The sequence below is a fragment of the Homo sapiens genome, chromosome 12, assembly GCF_000001405.40.
Source record: "Homo sapiens chromosome 12, GRCh38.p14 Primary Assembly".
NCBI lineage: Eukaryota > Metazoa > Chordata > Mammalia > Primates > Hominidae > Homo > Homo sapiens.
In genome coordinates this window covers 94,483,638-94,501,284 of record NC_000012.12, presented here as the reverse complement: position 1 = coordinate 94,501,284, position 17,647 = coordinate 94,483,638, and the positions used below count along the sequence as shown (strand labels likewise).

Below are 17,647 nucleotides of genomic sequence, written 5' to 3'. Positions count from 1 at the left end.
TAAACCTCTTTCTTTTGTAAATTGCCCAATCTTGGGTATGTCTTTATCAGCAGTGTGAAAATGGACTAATACAGTCATTCTTGCAAATTCCACTTCTAACACCAACTCCAAAGTTCAGGTGTCCCCAAGATCACCCTCACTCTGGCACCAAATGAAAGTGCAAGGATTCCCAAGAACACTCTCAGTTTCAATAATCACTAGAAAGACTCACAGAACTCACTGAAAGCTGCTACACTCACGGTTATGGGTTATTACAGTGATGTGTACAAATTAAAATAAACCAAAGGAAGAGGTGCAAGGGGCAGAGTTCAGGAGAGTTTCAAGCATGACACTTCTAAATGTCCTCTCCCATTGGAGTCAGAGCCAGCCATTGTGCCTCCCAGCAATAGTGTGTGGCAATACTCATGGAGTACTGCCAACCAGAGAAGTTTGGTGTCCAAAGTTTTTACTGGGGCATCACCACATAGACATAGTTGACTGCCCATGTGGATGACCTTAACCTCCAGCTTCTCTGGAGGTTGAGCTGATAGCATGTGCCCCAAAGCCCCTACCACAAATTATTGTAATCAGACTATCTGGCATGGCTCAAGGCCCCCAAGTAAACAAGGACACTTTCATCAGGCAAGACATCCCAAGGGCTTAGAGATTACCTCCTAGGGGCTGACAGCAAAGGCCATACCTTACTTTGAGTAAGGTTAATTCTTTCTTACACAATATGTTTATCTATCTATACATCTATCTAACTGTTGTGAACATCCTAATAGTTATATCTTTTTTTTTAAAGAAATAGTTCCTTTCCTTTCCTTCCTTTCCTTTCCTTTCCTTCCTTCTTTCTTTCCTCCCCTTTCCTTCCTTCTTTCTTTCCTCCCTCCCTCCCTTCCTTCCTTTCTTTTCTTTCTTTTTAAAATTTTTTCTTTTTTTTTTTTGCCAGGGTCTTGTTCTTTGCCCAGGCTGGAGTGCACTGGCCTGATCATGGCTCACTAAAGCCTCAACTCCCCAGACTCAATTGATCCTCTTGCCTCAGCCTCCTGAGTAGCTGGGACTACAGGGGTGCACCACCATACCCAACTAGCTTTTTGTATTTTTGTAAAGACAGGGTTTTGCCATGTTGCCCAGGCTGGTCTCAAACTCCTGGACTCAAGCAGCCCTCCTGCCTCAGCCTCCCAAAGTGCTGATTAAACAGGCATGTGTCATCATGCCAACCAGTTTTATTTTCTTTATAAGAAAATACATGTCCTTTATATGGACAAAATAAACAATATAGTAAAGTAAAACAAGGAGAGCAAAATCAGTCCAAATCCACTCACTAAGTGATACAATGATTAATACATTATTATATGTCCTTGTACACATCTTTCATTGCTGTTTATCCACATAATATATATAGAGTTTTATATAAATAAAATTGTTCTATTTATGTTGACGTATAACTGATTGTTGGACACTTAAGTTCTTTAAGTTGCTTTTATTAAACATTGACTAGACACAAAAATATTTATGAAGTAAAATGAAACACATTTACAACCAAAAACCTCTGAATTTATCACCAAATGTAAGGAAAAAAACCCAAAACATTATTAGTGCCAGGCGAGGTGTCAGAGCCCCGCCATTGGGAAGTAGTCAACTTACCGACAACAGTATAGGTTTGAAAAAGGAAAGTTTATTAGAAAGAAGGAATATTGCTAAAGGGTGCAGCGGGGCGCCTCAGTGGGAGGACTGGGTGTGAAATGGTGGATTTTCCTTAGGACCTTTTATGGACCTTAAGGTAAGAGCTTAAAGGTAATTTGGGCCATATTAGCTACATAGGTCATGATAAATTATTACATGTATAGACATTTGGGTGGCTTAACGTCAGCAAGGGTTGCACAATGAGTTTCGGCATGGAATTCCCAAGATGTATAAAAATTCTAGTTACTTAATAAAAGTTGAAAGAGGCCTGGAACCAGATGCCAACTTTAGATAGTAGGGAAGTTTTATTATTATTATTATTATTGTTATTGTTTGAGATGGAGTTTCCATCACCCAGGCTGGAGTGCAGTGGTACGATCTTGGCTCACTGCAACCTCCATCTCCCAGGTTGAAGCAATTCTCCCACCTCAGCCTCCTGAGAAGCTGGGATTACAGGTGCCCACCACTATGCCCAAATATAATTTTTGTATTTTTTGTAGGCGGGGGTTTTACCATGTTGGCCAGGCTGGTCTCGAACCCCTGACCTCAGGTGATCCGCATGCCTCGGCCTCCCAGAGTGCTGGGATTACAGGTGTGAACCATTGCACCCTGCTGGGAAGTTTAATTACTTTTAAATTTCCTAGATAACTTTTGCCTTTGGATGGCCTGTTTGATGGTCACCAGGTGTTCTTTGCTGCCTTCTAAATTCCTCAGATAAGGAGTTTTTGTCTCTGGGCCCTGTTCAATGGTCTCCAAGTCATTTTCACTTTCCTCACTCATTACCTTTAAAGTACCCTGTGTGCTTCTCTCCAACCCCATCCTCCTTTTCTTCTCTGAAAGGTAACAACTATCCTTAATTTAGGTTTATTGTTACTCTACTTTTAGCTTTATTGTGTTGGGGCTCAGAAAACAAAACATGTTGCATTAGACTTCAGACTGAGAGCACCTGGAGAGCAGTAATGCAGGGAAGGCCTTGCTCTGATCTTCCTTTATCCAAGGGAAGTTTCTCCAGAAGGAATGCAATCATTAACCAGAGAAGACTAGCTCACAGGAAAAGAGAAGAAAGTTCTGACACCATGCTGGAGAAACTCTTATCAGAGGCTACCACCTTCAGGGCTGCTACCTGAGAGACTTTATCTGCATAATAAGACAGTCTGGTTGGGCTCAGTGGCTCAGGCTGTAATCCCAGCACTTTGGGAAGCTGAGGCAGAAGGATCACTTGAGCCCAGGAGTTCGAGATCATCCTGGGTGTAAGGGAAATGGCTGCACTACAGTCAAGAGTGGGCCGAAGTAAACATCCAGTGCAGCATGGCACAGCCGGATTGGAGCGCAGGTGCACAATCCCGTGCATTATATAATCACAGTTATGTAACCATGTTATGGATGGACTCATCACCTGGTTCTGAGTCACTGTTATCTGTGACGTGCATAGATGTATCACTGACACTGTGAGAGCGTGCTTGATAAAGCTGGCTGCCTTGCAGGTGAACAGGAGGGAGCCAGGAAGTGGTGCCCACACTAGGGAGCATAGCTGCAGGCGTGGGGGCAGCAGGAGCCATGGAGCTGGCACTGAGAGGGACTGTGGCCAGAGCAGGCAGCTGAGACAAAGGCTGATGGAGAAGGCGAGAGAATAAAGCCATATTGCACTTGCCTACAGACCCCTGAGTGTTCTTTCAGCTACCTGCCACCTGTTCACTGACTCCCCTCAGACCCCAGCTTGAGCTGGAACCTGACACTGGGCAACATGAGGAGACTCCATCTCTAAAAAAAAATTTTAAATTAGTTGGGTGTTGAAAAATTAGCTGTAGTCCAAGGATCCCCTGAGCCTAGGAGTTCAAGGCTGCAGTGAGCTATGATCATGCCACTGTACTCCAGCCTGAAAATAGAGACACTGTCTCTAAAAAAACAAACAACAAAAAAGAATTTGTTGACAATGCATTTCCCCCTTACCCTCCCATAGCTTGTTATCACCATCCTTCAGGAGCTCCCAGCCCCCTATTCCTTTCCATATCATATAGAACTTTGGCCAGGTGTGGTGGCTCATACCTGTAATCCCAACACTTTGGGAGGCCAAGGCGGGCAGATCACAAAGTCAGGAGTTCGAGACCAGCCTGGCCAACATGGTGAAACCCCGTCTCTACTAAAAATACAAAAATTAGCCAGGCGTGGTGGCACACTCCTATAATCCCAGCTACTCGGGAGGCTAAGGCAGGAGAATTGCTTGAACCCAGAAGGTGGAGGTTGCAGTGAGCCAAGATCGTGCCATTGCACTCCAGCCTGGGCAACAGGGCAAGACTCCATCTCAAAAACAAACAAACAAAAATAAACTTTAGCCAGCTCAACTGGTCCTTCTCTAAGTTTCATATTTTGTGTGGCTCATGTGCATATAATAAATTTGTATGCCTTTTCTCCTGTTAATCTGTTTGTTGTCAGTTTATTCCAGAGACTCAAATTATCAAACCTTGGCCAGGCATGGTGGTTCATGCCTGTAATCCAAGCATTTTGTGGGGCTGAAATGGGCAGATCACTTGAGGTCAGGAGTTCAAGACCAGCCTGGCCAACATTGTGAAACCTCATATGTACAAAAAATACAAAAATTAGCCAGGCATGATGGTGCATGCCTGTAATCCCAGCAACTTGGGAGGCTGAGGTGGGAGGATCGCTTGAACCTGGGAAGCAGAGGTTGCAGTGAGCTATCGCACCCACTCCAGCCTGAGTGACAGAGCAAGACTCCATCTCAAAAATAAAAAATAAAAATTAATTATCAAATCTTTGGAGTGTGGAAGGAATGTTCCCTTTGCCCCTACCATCACATCTGTTTTCCCAAGCAATTAGTTTTATGTGCTTTTGGATTTTATACAAATGAAATTGTAGGGGAAGAGGAATCCTTTTTCCTCTACCCTCCTAACAGGCTGAGCCTGTGAATTAAAATAACGAAACACAGATTAGCAAGAGAAAAAAAGGTTTTGATTACACACTTAATGCACATTAGTTTAAATAAGAAATGAGACTCAAGGATGTGGTTAGATGATTGAGGCTTATTTATCATCTTAGGCTAAACAAAGGAAAAGGGGTTTGGGATTTCTGGGTCAGGGAGGCAAGCTTATGGGAAAGTGAGGGGATGAAATGTGTGATAAATAAAGGCTATCTTGTTTTGCAGATAAGAGTCATCCAGGTGATAAGGGTCATCTCTATGAATAGCTTTCTTCCTGGTAAGGAGACAAATTTTACAAATATAAATTTGCTTTATAAATATAAATTCCTTTCCAAAAGGGGAATTTTATACTGCATTTTTAGGTAGTAAGAGGGAGGTAAAGAGCTTTACTTGTATCTACTATTTCTCAGTTGTGTTTAGCTCAAGATAATCCAGTGGTAAAGAGGCGTATTTTGAGGTGGCATAGTCTGGCACCCTGCAGAACCATACTGTATATATTATTCTGCAACTTGCTTTTTCTCACAACACAATATTCCTGAGATCATCCATGTCATTGTGTGTAGCTATAATTTCTTCATTTTCACTGCTGTATTTATCTATTGTATTGTTGATGGACAATTAGGATTAGTTCTTCTTTCTTGGTCTTAACAAACAGTGTGGATATAAACACATGTACAAGAGTTTCTCTTGAGTCTATGCCCAGAAGTGGAACTGCTGAGTTATAAGACATTCACATCTTCAGCCTTAGTAGATAATGCCAAATTGTTTTCCCAAGTGATCCTTCCTGGCCGGGTGCAGTGGCTCATGCCTATAATTCTAGCTCTTTGGGAGGCCAAGGCAGGCAGATAGCTTGAGCTCAGGAGTTCAAGACCAGTCTTGGCAATGGTACCAGAAAGGGGTCCCGATCCAGACCCCAAGAGAGGGTTCTTGAATCTCACACAAGAAAGAATTTCAGGCAAGTCCATAGTACAAAGTGAAAGCGAGCTTATTAAGAAAGTAAAGGAATAAAAGAATGGCTATTGCATAGACACAGCAGCCCCAAGGGCTGCTGGTTGCTCAATTTTATGATTATTTCTTGATTATATGCTTAACAAGGGGTGGATTATTCATGAGTTTTCCCGGAAAGGGGTGGGCAATTCCTGGGACTGAGGGTTCCTCCACTCTTTAGACTATATAGGGTAACTTCCTGGCATTGCCATGGCATGTGTAAACTGTCATGGCACTGGTGGGAGTGTCTCTTAGCATGCTAATGCATTATAATTAGCATATAATGAGCAGTGAAGACGACCAGAGGTCACTCTCATTGCCATCTTGGTTTTGGTAGAATTTGGCCAGCTTCTTTATTGCAACCTGTTTTATCAGCAAGGTCTTTATGACCTGTATCTTGGGCTGACCTCCTATCTCATCCTGTGACTTAGAATTCCTAACCTTCTGGGAGTGCAGCCCAGTAGGTCTCAGCCTTATTTTACCCAGCCCCTATTCAAGATGGAGTTGCTGTGGTTTAAACGCCTCTGACAGCAAGATGGTGAAACCCTGTTTCTGCATAAAATACAAAAAATTAGTCAGGCATGGTGGTGTGCACCTGTAGTCTCAGCTACTTAGGGGGCTGAGGTGGGAGGGTTGCTTGAGCCCAGGAGGTGGAGGCTGCAGTGAGCCGAGATCATGCCACTATACTCCAGTCTGGGTGACAAAGTGAGAGCCTGTCTCAAAAAACCAAAAAACAGAAAAACGAAGTGGTCCTGCCAGTTTACAGTCCCACTAACAGTGTATGAGTGTTCCAATGACTACATTCCCACCAACACTTGATACTTTATATTTGTATCTTTGTGTACTACCAAGCTACTCAAAGTAAAATTTTAAACCTATAATAGGTTTTGCCAAATTGCTCCTCGTGTAACTGCCTGATGGGTTCTTCCTGCCTGCTGCAGGAACAAAATCGACCCCCTGAGACCATGGCATTGCAGTAAAGAAAGCGTTTGATTGATGTGAGGCTGGTTATGCTACATGGGAGATGGAGTTATAACTCAAATCAGTCTCCCTAAAGGTTCAGAGGTTAGGAGTCTTTCAAAGATAGTTTGGTGGGCACAGGGCTAGGGTAGGAGACATGCTGATTGGTTGGGGATGTCAACATGGGGTGTGGAAAATGGTCCTCATGCACTGATCTGCTTCTGGGTGGGGGCCACAGGACTGATTGAGTCACAAGTTCGGATGGGGCCATCCACTTGTCAGAAATGCAAAAAACTGAAAAGACATTTCAAAAGACCAATCTTAGGGTCTACAATAATGATGTTATCTGCAAGAGTAATTGGAAAAGTTGCAAATCGTATGACCTTCAGAGTAATGGCTAGTAATTATTTAGAATTCAGGCCCCTCTCGTCCTTCTAACTTGGTGACCTTTCATTAGTTTTACAAGGGCAGTTTAGTTTTGGGGAAGGGTTATTATTATTTAAACTGTAAACTAAATTTCTCCCAAAGAAAAATTTCCAGAAATGAGCAAAGACAGCCAGTCCGTGAGGCTAGAAGCAAGATGGAGTCAGCCATGTTAGATTTCTCTTATGTCATACTTTTGCAAAGGGGTTTTCACTCAAAAAGATCTTAACAATTTACACTCCCATCAGCCATATATGAAAAACTATGTCTTTACACCTTAGACAATACTGAAACTTTAATTTTTAAATATTTGCCAATTTTAATTTTAGTATTTGTCAAAAGATAAGGTGAAAAAGTTATCTAATTTTACTTTGCATTATTTGCCTACTACTAGAGAAATCGTATAGTTTTAATGTTTTCTTGGTGTTTGTATTTCTTCTTACGTAAAATGTCTTTTCATATAAAATGTCTTTTCACATAAAATTGTGGTACTTGTAGACCCAAGATTGGAGGCGTGAGAGTGGAGCATCAGGTAATGAAAGTTTTCATACAGAGTAAATAGGGATGGTTCTGTGCAGAAGAAGAAAAGAAAATTAACTCTGGAGATGTTATTTCAATTTTACTAAGTCTCTTTCACTCTAATTGAATGTGTCAGAGGTGTTTGAACCAGAGCAACTAACTCCATCTTGAATAGGGGCTGGGTAAAATGAGGATGAGACCTACTGGGCTGCATTCCCAGGAGGTTAGGCATTCTTTTTTTTTTTTTTTTTTTTGAGATGGAGTCTCGATCTGTCACCAGGTTGGAGTGCAGTGGCACGATCTTGGCTCACTGCAACCTCCACCTCCCAGGTTCAAGCGATTCTCCTGCCTTAGCCTCCCGGGTAGCTGGGATTACAGGCACATACCACTATGCCTGGCTAATTTTTGTATTTTTAGTAGAGATTGGTTTTCCACATGTTGGTCAGGCTGGTCTCGAACTCCTGACCTCATGGTCCACCTGCCTCGGCCTCCCAAAGTGTTAGGATTACAGGCATGAGACACTGCGCCCGGCCAAGGTTAGGCATTCTTAGTCACAGGATGAGATAGGGAGGTCAGCACAAGATATAGGTCATAAAGACCTTGCTGATAAAACAGGTTGTGGTAAAGAAGGCAGCCAAAACCCACCAAAACCAAGAGGATGACAAAAGTGACCTCTGGTCGTCTTCACTGCTCATTATATGCTAATTGTAATGCATTAGCATGCTAAAAGACACTCCTACCAGTGCCATGAGAGTTTACAGATGCCATGGCAATGTCAAGAAGTTACCCTACATAGTCTACAAAGGGGAGGAATCCTCAGTTCTGGGAATTGCCCATCCTTTTCCTGGAAAACTCATGAATAATCCACCCCTTGTTTAGTATATAATCAAGAAATAACTATAAGTATACTTAGTTAAGCAGCCCATGTTGCTGCTCTGCCTATGGAGTAGCCATTTTTTTAATTCCTTTACTTTCTTAATAGACTTGCTTTTGCTTTACTCTACGGACTCACCCTGAATTCTTTCTTGCATGAGGTCCAAGAACCCTCTCTTGGGGTCTGGGTTGGGACTCCTTTCTGGTAACAAAAGAAAACTATAGATATAATATTAGATTTTGACAGACTATCAAGTTAAATTTTGTTTTCACTGTATAAAACTTAGAAATCATATTGAACAGAATTAGAAAGTTGTTTAAAAACAGGATTTACATAATTGAATTTGATATAAGTACCTCTACAAATAACCATGCTGGGCTTGTCCATTTTCTCCAGTGATCTCAAAACAATATCCATATTATTTTTTATAGTTTATAATGAAAAAACTGAAACCACAGGAAGATAAATGATCTCAAAATAATATCCATATTATTTTTTATAGTTTATAATGAAAAAATTGAAAGCCCAGGAAGATAAATGATCTTTGTTAGATCACAACAAGTCAATATGAAGGTCAAGAGTAAAAGTAATTTTCAGTCTATCATTATGGCCCAAACTCTCCAAACCCCCTGCCAGGTTTTTACTTATTAGGAATTTAAGTGTTTCAAAAATGAAAGTCTTCAGCCAAAGAATTGTTAGTTAAAATACAAAACAAAAACATTAGCATTGGGAGTTTCTAAAGTGTTGAAAGCTAAGTGTTTTAACGCTAAAATCCTTGACATTTAAAAGGCTCAGGAGCCAAACCTACTGAAAGCCAACTAACATGTAAATTATAACAATTTATTTCTCTTAGGCCTTGGCATGCTTCCTTTTGGTGCCAGAAGTAGAGTGAGATATTTGAGATTCAAACTCTTTGTAAACTTTTATAAATTAGAACTATATTCTCTGTGGAAAAGTATCCTTGCATCATCTTTCCTCTTTCTTCCCCTAGGAACTGACTGGACTTCACAACCAATTTTGGGCTAGTGTGGAGAGATCAGCTGTGAGAAACATCCATTGATTTGCTCAGGCTGCCCTTTGTATCTTAATGCTTCAGGTTTTGTTATCCTGCGCCTTTCTTCTGTCTTCTTTCCTCATAAGTTTTTTAGATACAATTTTATTGCCAATAATTAAAGAGTGAGAATGAGCGGCAATGGGCTGGTATGGTTGCATTCAAACTCCAAAGTTCACATTTTGGAATATTGATTTTTGCTTGAGAACAACTTACCTAAAAACCATGGGAATTTGGCAGGGAGGGATGTGATGGGGCATATGTTGAGTTCTTTCAAGGAATTTAACTTTCATTTCTGAAGAAGTAAAAACTGTGGCATGGTGTTCTCTTTCTTTTGTCTTCCTTCCCCCAAAGTTAAAGAGTTTGCAGTTGTTTGAGAGCCCTTCCAATTGCATTCTTTCACAGCCGTCTCCTTTCATCCCCATCTCAAACTCAGTGTTTTGGGGGGATTCAGGCATCAGTCTACAGTTAGAACAAAACAACTAACATAGCTAGAAATCATCTTGAAAAGCTAAAAATAGTGTAGGAAAGAATAAATCTTTTCTCACCCATAGCTAGGTTCATAAATGAGGTCCCTATAACAAAACACAGATTGACAAGAGAGAAGCATACAAATTTACTTAATATAAGTTTTATGTGACACAGGAGCTTTCAGAAATGAAGACCCAAAGAAACAGGGATATGTGTGTATTTTTATGCTTAGGGTTGATGAAGAGCAGACAGTTCTGCAGAAGTATGATTGGACAAAAGGTTATGATAACTGCAGGAAACTTAGGAAGTCCTGTTTGTTCAGGTTCTTCTTTGTATCCTTGTGTCTTCAGAGATAAGGACATTCCTTTCTTCCAGGTTTGGGTGAGTGCCTCTGGAATGAAGGTCTTATAACCCGCTTCACGGAGGAAAGTTGAGGGGAAGGTAAAGTGACCTTCCTGCTTCTGAGATTTTCTGAAGGTACCATATGTTGGGGTGGTGTTTCCCGAACCCCATCGAAAGGAAGGTAGGTCAAAGCAATTTTGGAGTAAACCCACCCTGGAATGTAATTCCAGCACTGAATTTCTCACTTTTTCCCTTTTCCTTCATTCCTTCCTTCAAGGATTATTCATTGAGCACCTCCTATATACTCCTAAGTTTGGAAAATACAGCAATGAAAAAGACAAGTTTCCCTGACCCTGTGGAACTTACACTAGTAAAGATTTCTGATATTGATAAGTGCTATTAAGAAAATAAAAATGTGTAGTCCCAGTTACTTGGGAGGGTGAGGCGGGAGGATTGCTTGAGCCCAGGAGTTCAAGTCCAGCCTGGGCAATGCAGCGAAGCATTAAGACATGTCTCTAAGAAAAAAAAGAAAAGAAAAGAAAAATGATGTGATTAACTGAGAGCCCCAACAGGAGGCAACTTTAGATAAGGTAATCTCTAAGGAGATATTTGAGCTGAAACCTGAAGGAGGAAAAATAGCCGGCTAGGATAATAAGCTAAGAGAAGTTTAAGGTAGTTCATACTGCAAAATCTGAGTCAAAAAAAAAAAAAAAAAAAAAGCTTGACGTGTTTGAGGGAAAGAAAGGAGGACACTGTGGCTAATGCAGAATGATGGAGGGGGACAACTGTAGTATCCTGGAGCAAAAGGCATTAACTAGCTCATGCATAGCTTTTTACACTACAGTTAGAAGTTCAAATCATACTCTAAGAGCAATGGAAGCCATTGAAGCCTTTAACGCTAGCAAGATCTGATTTATGGTCTCAAAAGCTCATTCTGGCTGCTCTTTGGAGAATGGAAGCAGGAATATGGGTTAGAAAGTTCCTGGTTAGGAGTTGCTATGGTTTGAATGTGTCCTCCCAAAAACATGTGTTGAAAACTTAATCCCCAATGCAACAGTGTTAGGAGATGGGCCCAGTGAAATGTGATTAGGCCAGGAAGGTGGAGAGAATGGATTCATGCCATTTTCAAGGGAGAAGGTTCATTATAAAAGGGGGAACTTGACCCTCTTTTACTCTCTCTCTTGCCCTCTCTTTGCTCTTCTGTCATGGTATGACACAGCAAGAAGGCCCTTGCCAGATGTTTGCCTCTTGATCTTGGAATTCCCAGCCTCCAAAATTGTGAGCCAATACATTTCTGTTCATTATAAATTAACCAGTCTGTGGTATTCTGTTATAGCAGCACAAAATGGACTCAGACAGGAGTCCAGGAAAAGATGGTGGCCTTCATTAAAGTGGTGGCAATGGAGGTGAAATGAAGTAGACTTAAGATAGATTTTGTGGATAATTCTGAAATTACTTATTTATACATTAGCAGTCCTGGGACAGGGTAGTGGGGGTGTGAGGGGAAAATAAATCAAGGATGACTCTTAGGGATTTTGGCTTAAGCATCTGGGTTAGACAGTGCTGACATTTACTGAGATAGGTAAGATATACAGACAGGAACTGTTTTAGATTTATTACCTTTAAAATACCTATTAGATATCTAAGTGTCAGTGAACACTTGCATACCAGAATCTGAAATGCATGTGCAATATCTGGGAAGGAGATATCCATGTGGGGATTGTCAACATATAGAAAACATTTAAAGCCATAGGAAAGGAAGATATTAACTGGATAGAGAAGAGTGTAAGTTCTAGGCATTCTATCATTTACAGATCAGACAGAACCAAGAGAGTCAGAAAAGTGTTTGGCCAATAAAGCAGGAGAAAAATGCAGAAAAGTGGAGAATGTTTTAAGAAGTGATCAACTGTGTTGAAGGCTGAGAGGATGAGCACTTATCCTGTGACTTTGAGTAAACTGCTCCATCTATCTAAACTCAAGCTCCTCATCTGTAAAATGTGGATAAAAATAGTATAACACCGACAGTGTTGTTGGGTGTATTAAAAAACAATATATGTAATGTTCTATGCATCTGGCATGTAATAAGTGATAAATGGTAGCTATTAGTCTATTGCTGTTGAGTTCTGAATTCTATAAGAAGAAATATAAATATGTCAGGGGAAAAAGCACATACATATACTGGAAAAGTTCTGAATAACAGATATTCAATTTTATCACATCTTGCAAATCATTCTTTAATGTTCCTTTTAGTCTTTGTGTCTTTTTAGCTCTTCTGGAGTCAGGGCTTAAGATATGAGAATTCCTTCTTCTCTGGATAGTCAAAAGTTGCTATGACAACTGGCTGGAAATGAAAGTCCTCTGCTTTATTTATTTATCTGAGGGTGATGTGCTGCAGAAAGGGGGAAGTGAGACTGCCACAATGTGCCTCACAACCTTTAGAGAGAAGACATGTAAGGGCCACGTTTTCTCCCATCCTGTCAGAATCCTTAACTGTTTATATATAACTTACCCATTTCTTCTTTTTCTACAAAGTATTTGAGGTCATAAATATTAAGACACGTATAACTTGAGGCAGTTTAAAGAAAATAAATCAGATGATTAAATACTATTCGGAGAAGTAATGTATAACAGAAAAGTAATGTATAACAAAACAGAGTTATTAACACCATGTAAGAAATTTAACCCCAAGTATTTTGGAAGTAAAAAAACAAAAAACAAAAAACAAAGAAAAACATAATGGTTTCAGGAATTCTATGAAGTATGCTTAAAGGTCACAAACAGGTTAATTAGGAGAGAAACTTTTAAGCAGATATATATGTTGTTCCTGTGCAATAATAGCAGTGGTCAGCTGGGCGTGGTGGCTCACACCTGTAATCCCAGCACTTTTGGAGGCCAAAAGGAGGGCAGATCACCTGAGGTCGAGGGTTCGAGACCCGCCTGGCTAACATGGTGAAACCCTGTCTCTACTAAAAATACAAAAATTAGCTGGGCATGGTGGTAGGCACCTGTAATCCCAGCTACTTGGGAGGCTGAGGCAGGAGAATCACTTGAACCTGGGAGGTGGAGGTTGCGGTGAGCTGATATCGCACCTTGGCACTCCAGCCTGGGCAACAGAGTGAGACTCTGTCTCAAAATAAATAAATAAATAAGAAAAGAAAAGAAAAAAATAATAGTGGCCAACATTTGCATACCACTTTACAGTTTATGCTTTACAGAAGGTAGTATTACAACTATTTTTTTGGCCCCCAAACCGCACAGTAGGTTAACACAGAGAACTTGAATCATGAATCTTTTTTTTTCAAATACAGAAAACCTTTCTTTATTAGTAGCCAAAATATATAAGCATCTCTTGCATCTTTTATTTCCAAAACCCAATTCTTTCTGCTATACCAAGAGGCAACTTCCTTAATCGCAATTTTTGAAAAATCTTATGAAACATAACATTCACAAAAGTACATAAAATTTATATCTAAATTTTAAGGAATAACTGCAAAACTAACATCCACATAGCCACCACCAAAACCAAGAGATAGAACACTCCTAGAACTCTAGAAGGCTGGGCGTGGTGGCTCATGCCTGTAATCCCAGCAGTTTGTGAGGCTGAGGCGGGTGGATCAGGTAGGGCCAGGAGTTGGAGACCAGCCTGGTCAACATGGTGAAACCCTGTCTCTACTAAAAATACAGAAAGTAGCCAGGTGTGGTGGTGCACGCCTGCAATCCCAGCTACTTGGGAGGCTGTGGCACAAGAATCACATGAACCTGGGAGGCAGAGGTTGCAGAGAGCCAAGATCGTGCTGCTGCACTCCAGCCTGAGTGACAGAGCAAGACTCCGTCTCAAAAAAAAATAAAAAAATAAAAAACCACTCTGTCGCCCAGGCTGGAGTGCAGTGCTGCCATCTCTCGGCTCACTGCAAGCTCTGCCTCCTGGGTCCGGGTTCACGCTGTTCTCCTGTCTCAGCCTCCTAAGTAGCTGGGACTACAGGCGCCCGCCACCACGCCCGGCTAATTTTCTGTTTTTTTTAGTAGAGATGAGGCTTCACTGTGTTAGCCAGGATGGTCTTGATTTGCTGACCTCGTGATCCTCCCACCTCAGCCTCCCAAAGTGCTGGGATTACAGGTGTGAGCCACCGCACCCGGCCCCTTTTATGCTTTTAAAAATTATTGAGGACCCCAATGAAATTAGGTGTACATGGCCTATAACTAGCAGTATTTTCATTATTGGAAATTAAAACTGAGAATGAAAAAATATTAATTCACTTTAAAAATAACAATAATACATTTACTACATGTTAACCTAAATAATACTTTATGAATATTAACTATTTGCCAAAACAAACAAAAAAAATTATTGAGAGGAGTGATAGTCACTTTTTTTTCAAATTTCTTAAATGTCTGATTTAATAGAAGACAACTTGATTCTTACATCTGATTCTGCAGTCTGTTATGATGTTGTTTTGGCTTAATTATATGGAGAAAATCTGGCCCCACACAGATATGTAGTTGGAAAAGTGGGAGTATTTTAATAGCCTTTTCAGATAACTGTGGATATTCTTTGTACTATACCAGAATTCCACAAGTGCTAGTTTTTTTTTTTTTTTTTTGAGCTTCTTTTTTATTTATTATTATTATAGTTTAAGTTTTAGGGTACATGTGCACAATGTGCCGGTTAGTTACATATGTATATATGTGCCATGCTGGTGTGCTGCACCCATTAACTCGTCATTTAGCGTTAGGTATATCTCCTAATGCTATCCCTCCCCCCTCCCCCCACCCCACAACAGTCCCCAGAGTGTGATGTTCCCCTTCCTGTGTCCATGTGTTCTCATTGTTCAATTCCCATCCATAAGTGAGAACATGCGGTGTTCGGTTTTTTGTCCTTGTGATAGTTTACTAAGAATGATGATTTCCAATTTCATCCATGTCCCTACAAAGGACATGAACTCATCATTCTTTATGGCTGCATAGTATTCCATGGTGTATATGTGCCACATTTTCTTAATCCAGTCTATCATTGTTGGACATTTGGGTTGGTTCCAAGTCTTTGCTATTGTGAATAGTGCTGCAATAAACATACGTGTGCATGTGTCTTTATAGCAGCATGATTTATAGTCCTTTGGGTATATACCCAGTAATGGGATGGCTGGGTCAAATGGTATTTCTAGTTCTAGATCCCTGAGGAATCGCCACACTGACTTCCACAATGGTTGAACTAGTTTACAGTCCCACCAACAACGTAAAAGTGTTCCTATTTCTCCACATCCTCTCCAGCACCTGTTGTTTCCTGACTTTTTAATGATTGCCATTCTAACTGGTGTGAGATGGTATCTCACTGTGGTTTTGATTTGCATTTCTCTGATGGCCAGTGATGATGAGCATTTTTTTCATGTGTCTTTTGGCTGCATAAAGGTCTTCTTTTGAGAAGTGTCTGTTCATATTCTTTGCCCACTTTTTGATGGGGTTGTTTGTTTTTTTCTTGTAAATTTGTTTGAGTTCATTGTAGATTCTGGATATTAGCCCTTTGTCAGATAAGTAGGTTGCGAAAATTTTCTCCCATGTTGTAGGTTGCCTGTTCACTCTGATGGTAGTTTCTTTTGCTGTGCAGAAGCTCTTTAGTTTAATTAGATCCCATTTGTCAATTTTGGCTTTTGTTGCCATTGCTTTTGGTGTTTTAGACATGAAGTCCTTGCCCATGCCTATGTCCTGAATGGTAATGCCTAGGTTTTCTTCTAGGGTTTTTATGGTTTTAGGTCTAATATTTAAGTCTTTAATCCATCTTGAATTAATTTTTGTATAAGGTGTAAGGAAGGGATCCAGTTTCAGCTTTCTACATATGGCTAGCCAGTTTTACCAGCACCATTTATTAAATAGGGAATCCTTTCCCCATTGCTTGTTTTTCTCAGGTTTGTCAAAGATCAGATAGTCATAGATATGTGGCGTTATTTCTGAGGGCTCTGTTCTGTTCCATTGATCTATATGTCTGTTTTGGTACCAGTACCATGCTGTTTTGGTTACTGTAGCCTTGTAGTATAGTTTGAAGTCAGGTAGTGTGATGCCTCCAGCTTTGTTCTTTTGGCTTAGGATTGACTTGGCGATGCGGGCTCTTTTTTGGTTCCATATGAACTTTAAAGTAGTTTTTTCCAATTCTGTGAAGAAAGTCATTGGTAGCTTGATGGGGATGGCATTGAATCTATAAATTACCTTGGGCAGTATGGCCATTTTCACGATACTGATTCTTCCTACCCATGAGCATGGAATGTTCTTCCATTTGTTTGTATCCTCTTTTATTTCATTGAGCAGTGGTTTGTAGTTCTCCTTGAAGAGGTCCTTCACGTCCCTTGTAAGTTGGATTCCTAAGTATTTTATTCTCTTTGAAGCAATTGTGAATGAGAGTTCACTCATGATTTGGTTCTCTGTTTGTCTGTTATTGGTGTATAAGAATGCTTTGATTTTTGTACATTAGAAGAATCAAATAGATGCAATAAAAAATGATAAAGGGGATATCAACACCGATCCCACAGAAATACAAACTACCATCAGAGAATACTACAAACACCTCTACGCAAATAAATTAGAAAATCTAGAAGAAATGGATAAATTCCTCGACACATACACTCTCCCAAGACTAAACCAGGAAGAAGTTGAATCTCTGAATAGACCAATAACAGGAGCTGAAATTGTGGCAATAATCAATAGCTTACCAAGCAAAAAGAGTCCAGGACCAGATGGATTCACAGCCGAATTCTACCAGAGGTACATGGAGGAACTGGTACCATTCCTTCTGAAACTATTCCAATCAGTAGAAAAAGAGGGAATCTTCCCTAACTCATTTTATGAGGCCAGCATCATCCTGATACCAAAGCCTGGAAGAGACACAACCAAAAAAGAGAATTTTAGACCAATATCCTTGATGAACATCGATGCAAAAATCCTCAATAAAATACTGGCAAACCGAATCCAGCAGCACATCAAAAAGCTTATCCACCATGATCAAGTGGGCTTCATCCCTGGGATGCAAGGCTGGTTCAATATACACAAATCAATAAATGTAATCCAGCATATAAACAGAACCAAAAACAAAAACCACATGATTATCTCAATAGATGCAGAAAAGGCCTTTGACAAAATTCAACAACCTTCATGCTAAAAACTCTCAATAAATTAGGTATTGATGGGATGTATCTCAAAATAATAAGAGCTATCTATGACAAACCCACAGCCAATATCATACTGAATGGGCAAAAACTGGAAGCATTCCCTTTGAAAACTGGCACAAGACAGGGATGCCCTCTCTCACCACTCCTATTCAACATAGTGTTGGAAGTTCTGGCCAGGGCAATTAGGCAGGAGAAGGAAATAAAGAGTATTCAGTTAGGAAAAGAGGACGTCAAATTGTCCCTGTTTGTAGATGACATGATTG

General features: G+C 40.4%; 2 long non-coding RNA genes across 3 annotated transcripts in view; one reads left to right on the top strand and one right to left on the bottom strand.

The window, feature by feature from the left end:
• The window catches only part of LOC102724960 (uncharacterized), a 66,649-nt gene that overhangs the window by 37,681 nt on the left and 11,321 nt on the right, over positions 1–17,647 (bottom strand). The window contains exon 3 of one of the 2 annotated variants that reach the window (XR_429176.3): positions 17,057–17,090. The exons of the other annotated variant lie outside the window; for it this stretch is intronic. This is a non-coding gene — a long non-coding RNA (uncharacterized LOC102724960). Of the gene's footprint in view, positions 1–17,056; positions 17,091–17,647 lie in introns of those variants that run through there. 2 annotated transcript variants of the gene reach the window in all.
• On the top strand, positions 4,843–9,739 carry LNCHR1 (lncRNA induced by HCV, regulator of SREBF1). Its single transcript, NR_197582.1, has 2 exons — positions 4,843–4,880; positions 9,358–9,739. It is a non-coding gene; the product is annotated as a lncRNA induced by HCV, regulator of SREBF1 (long non-coding RNA).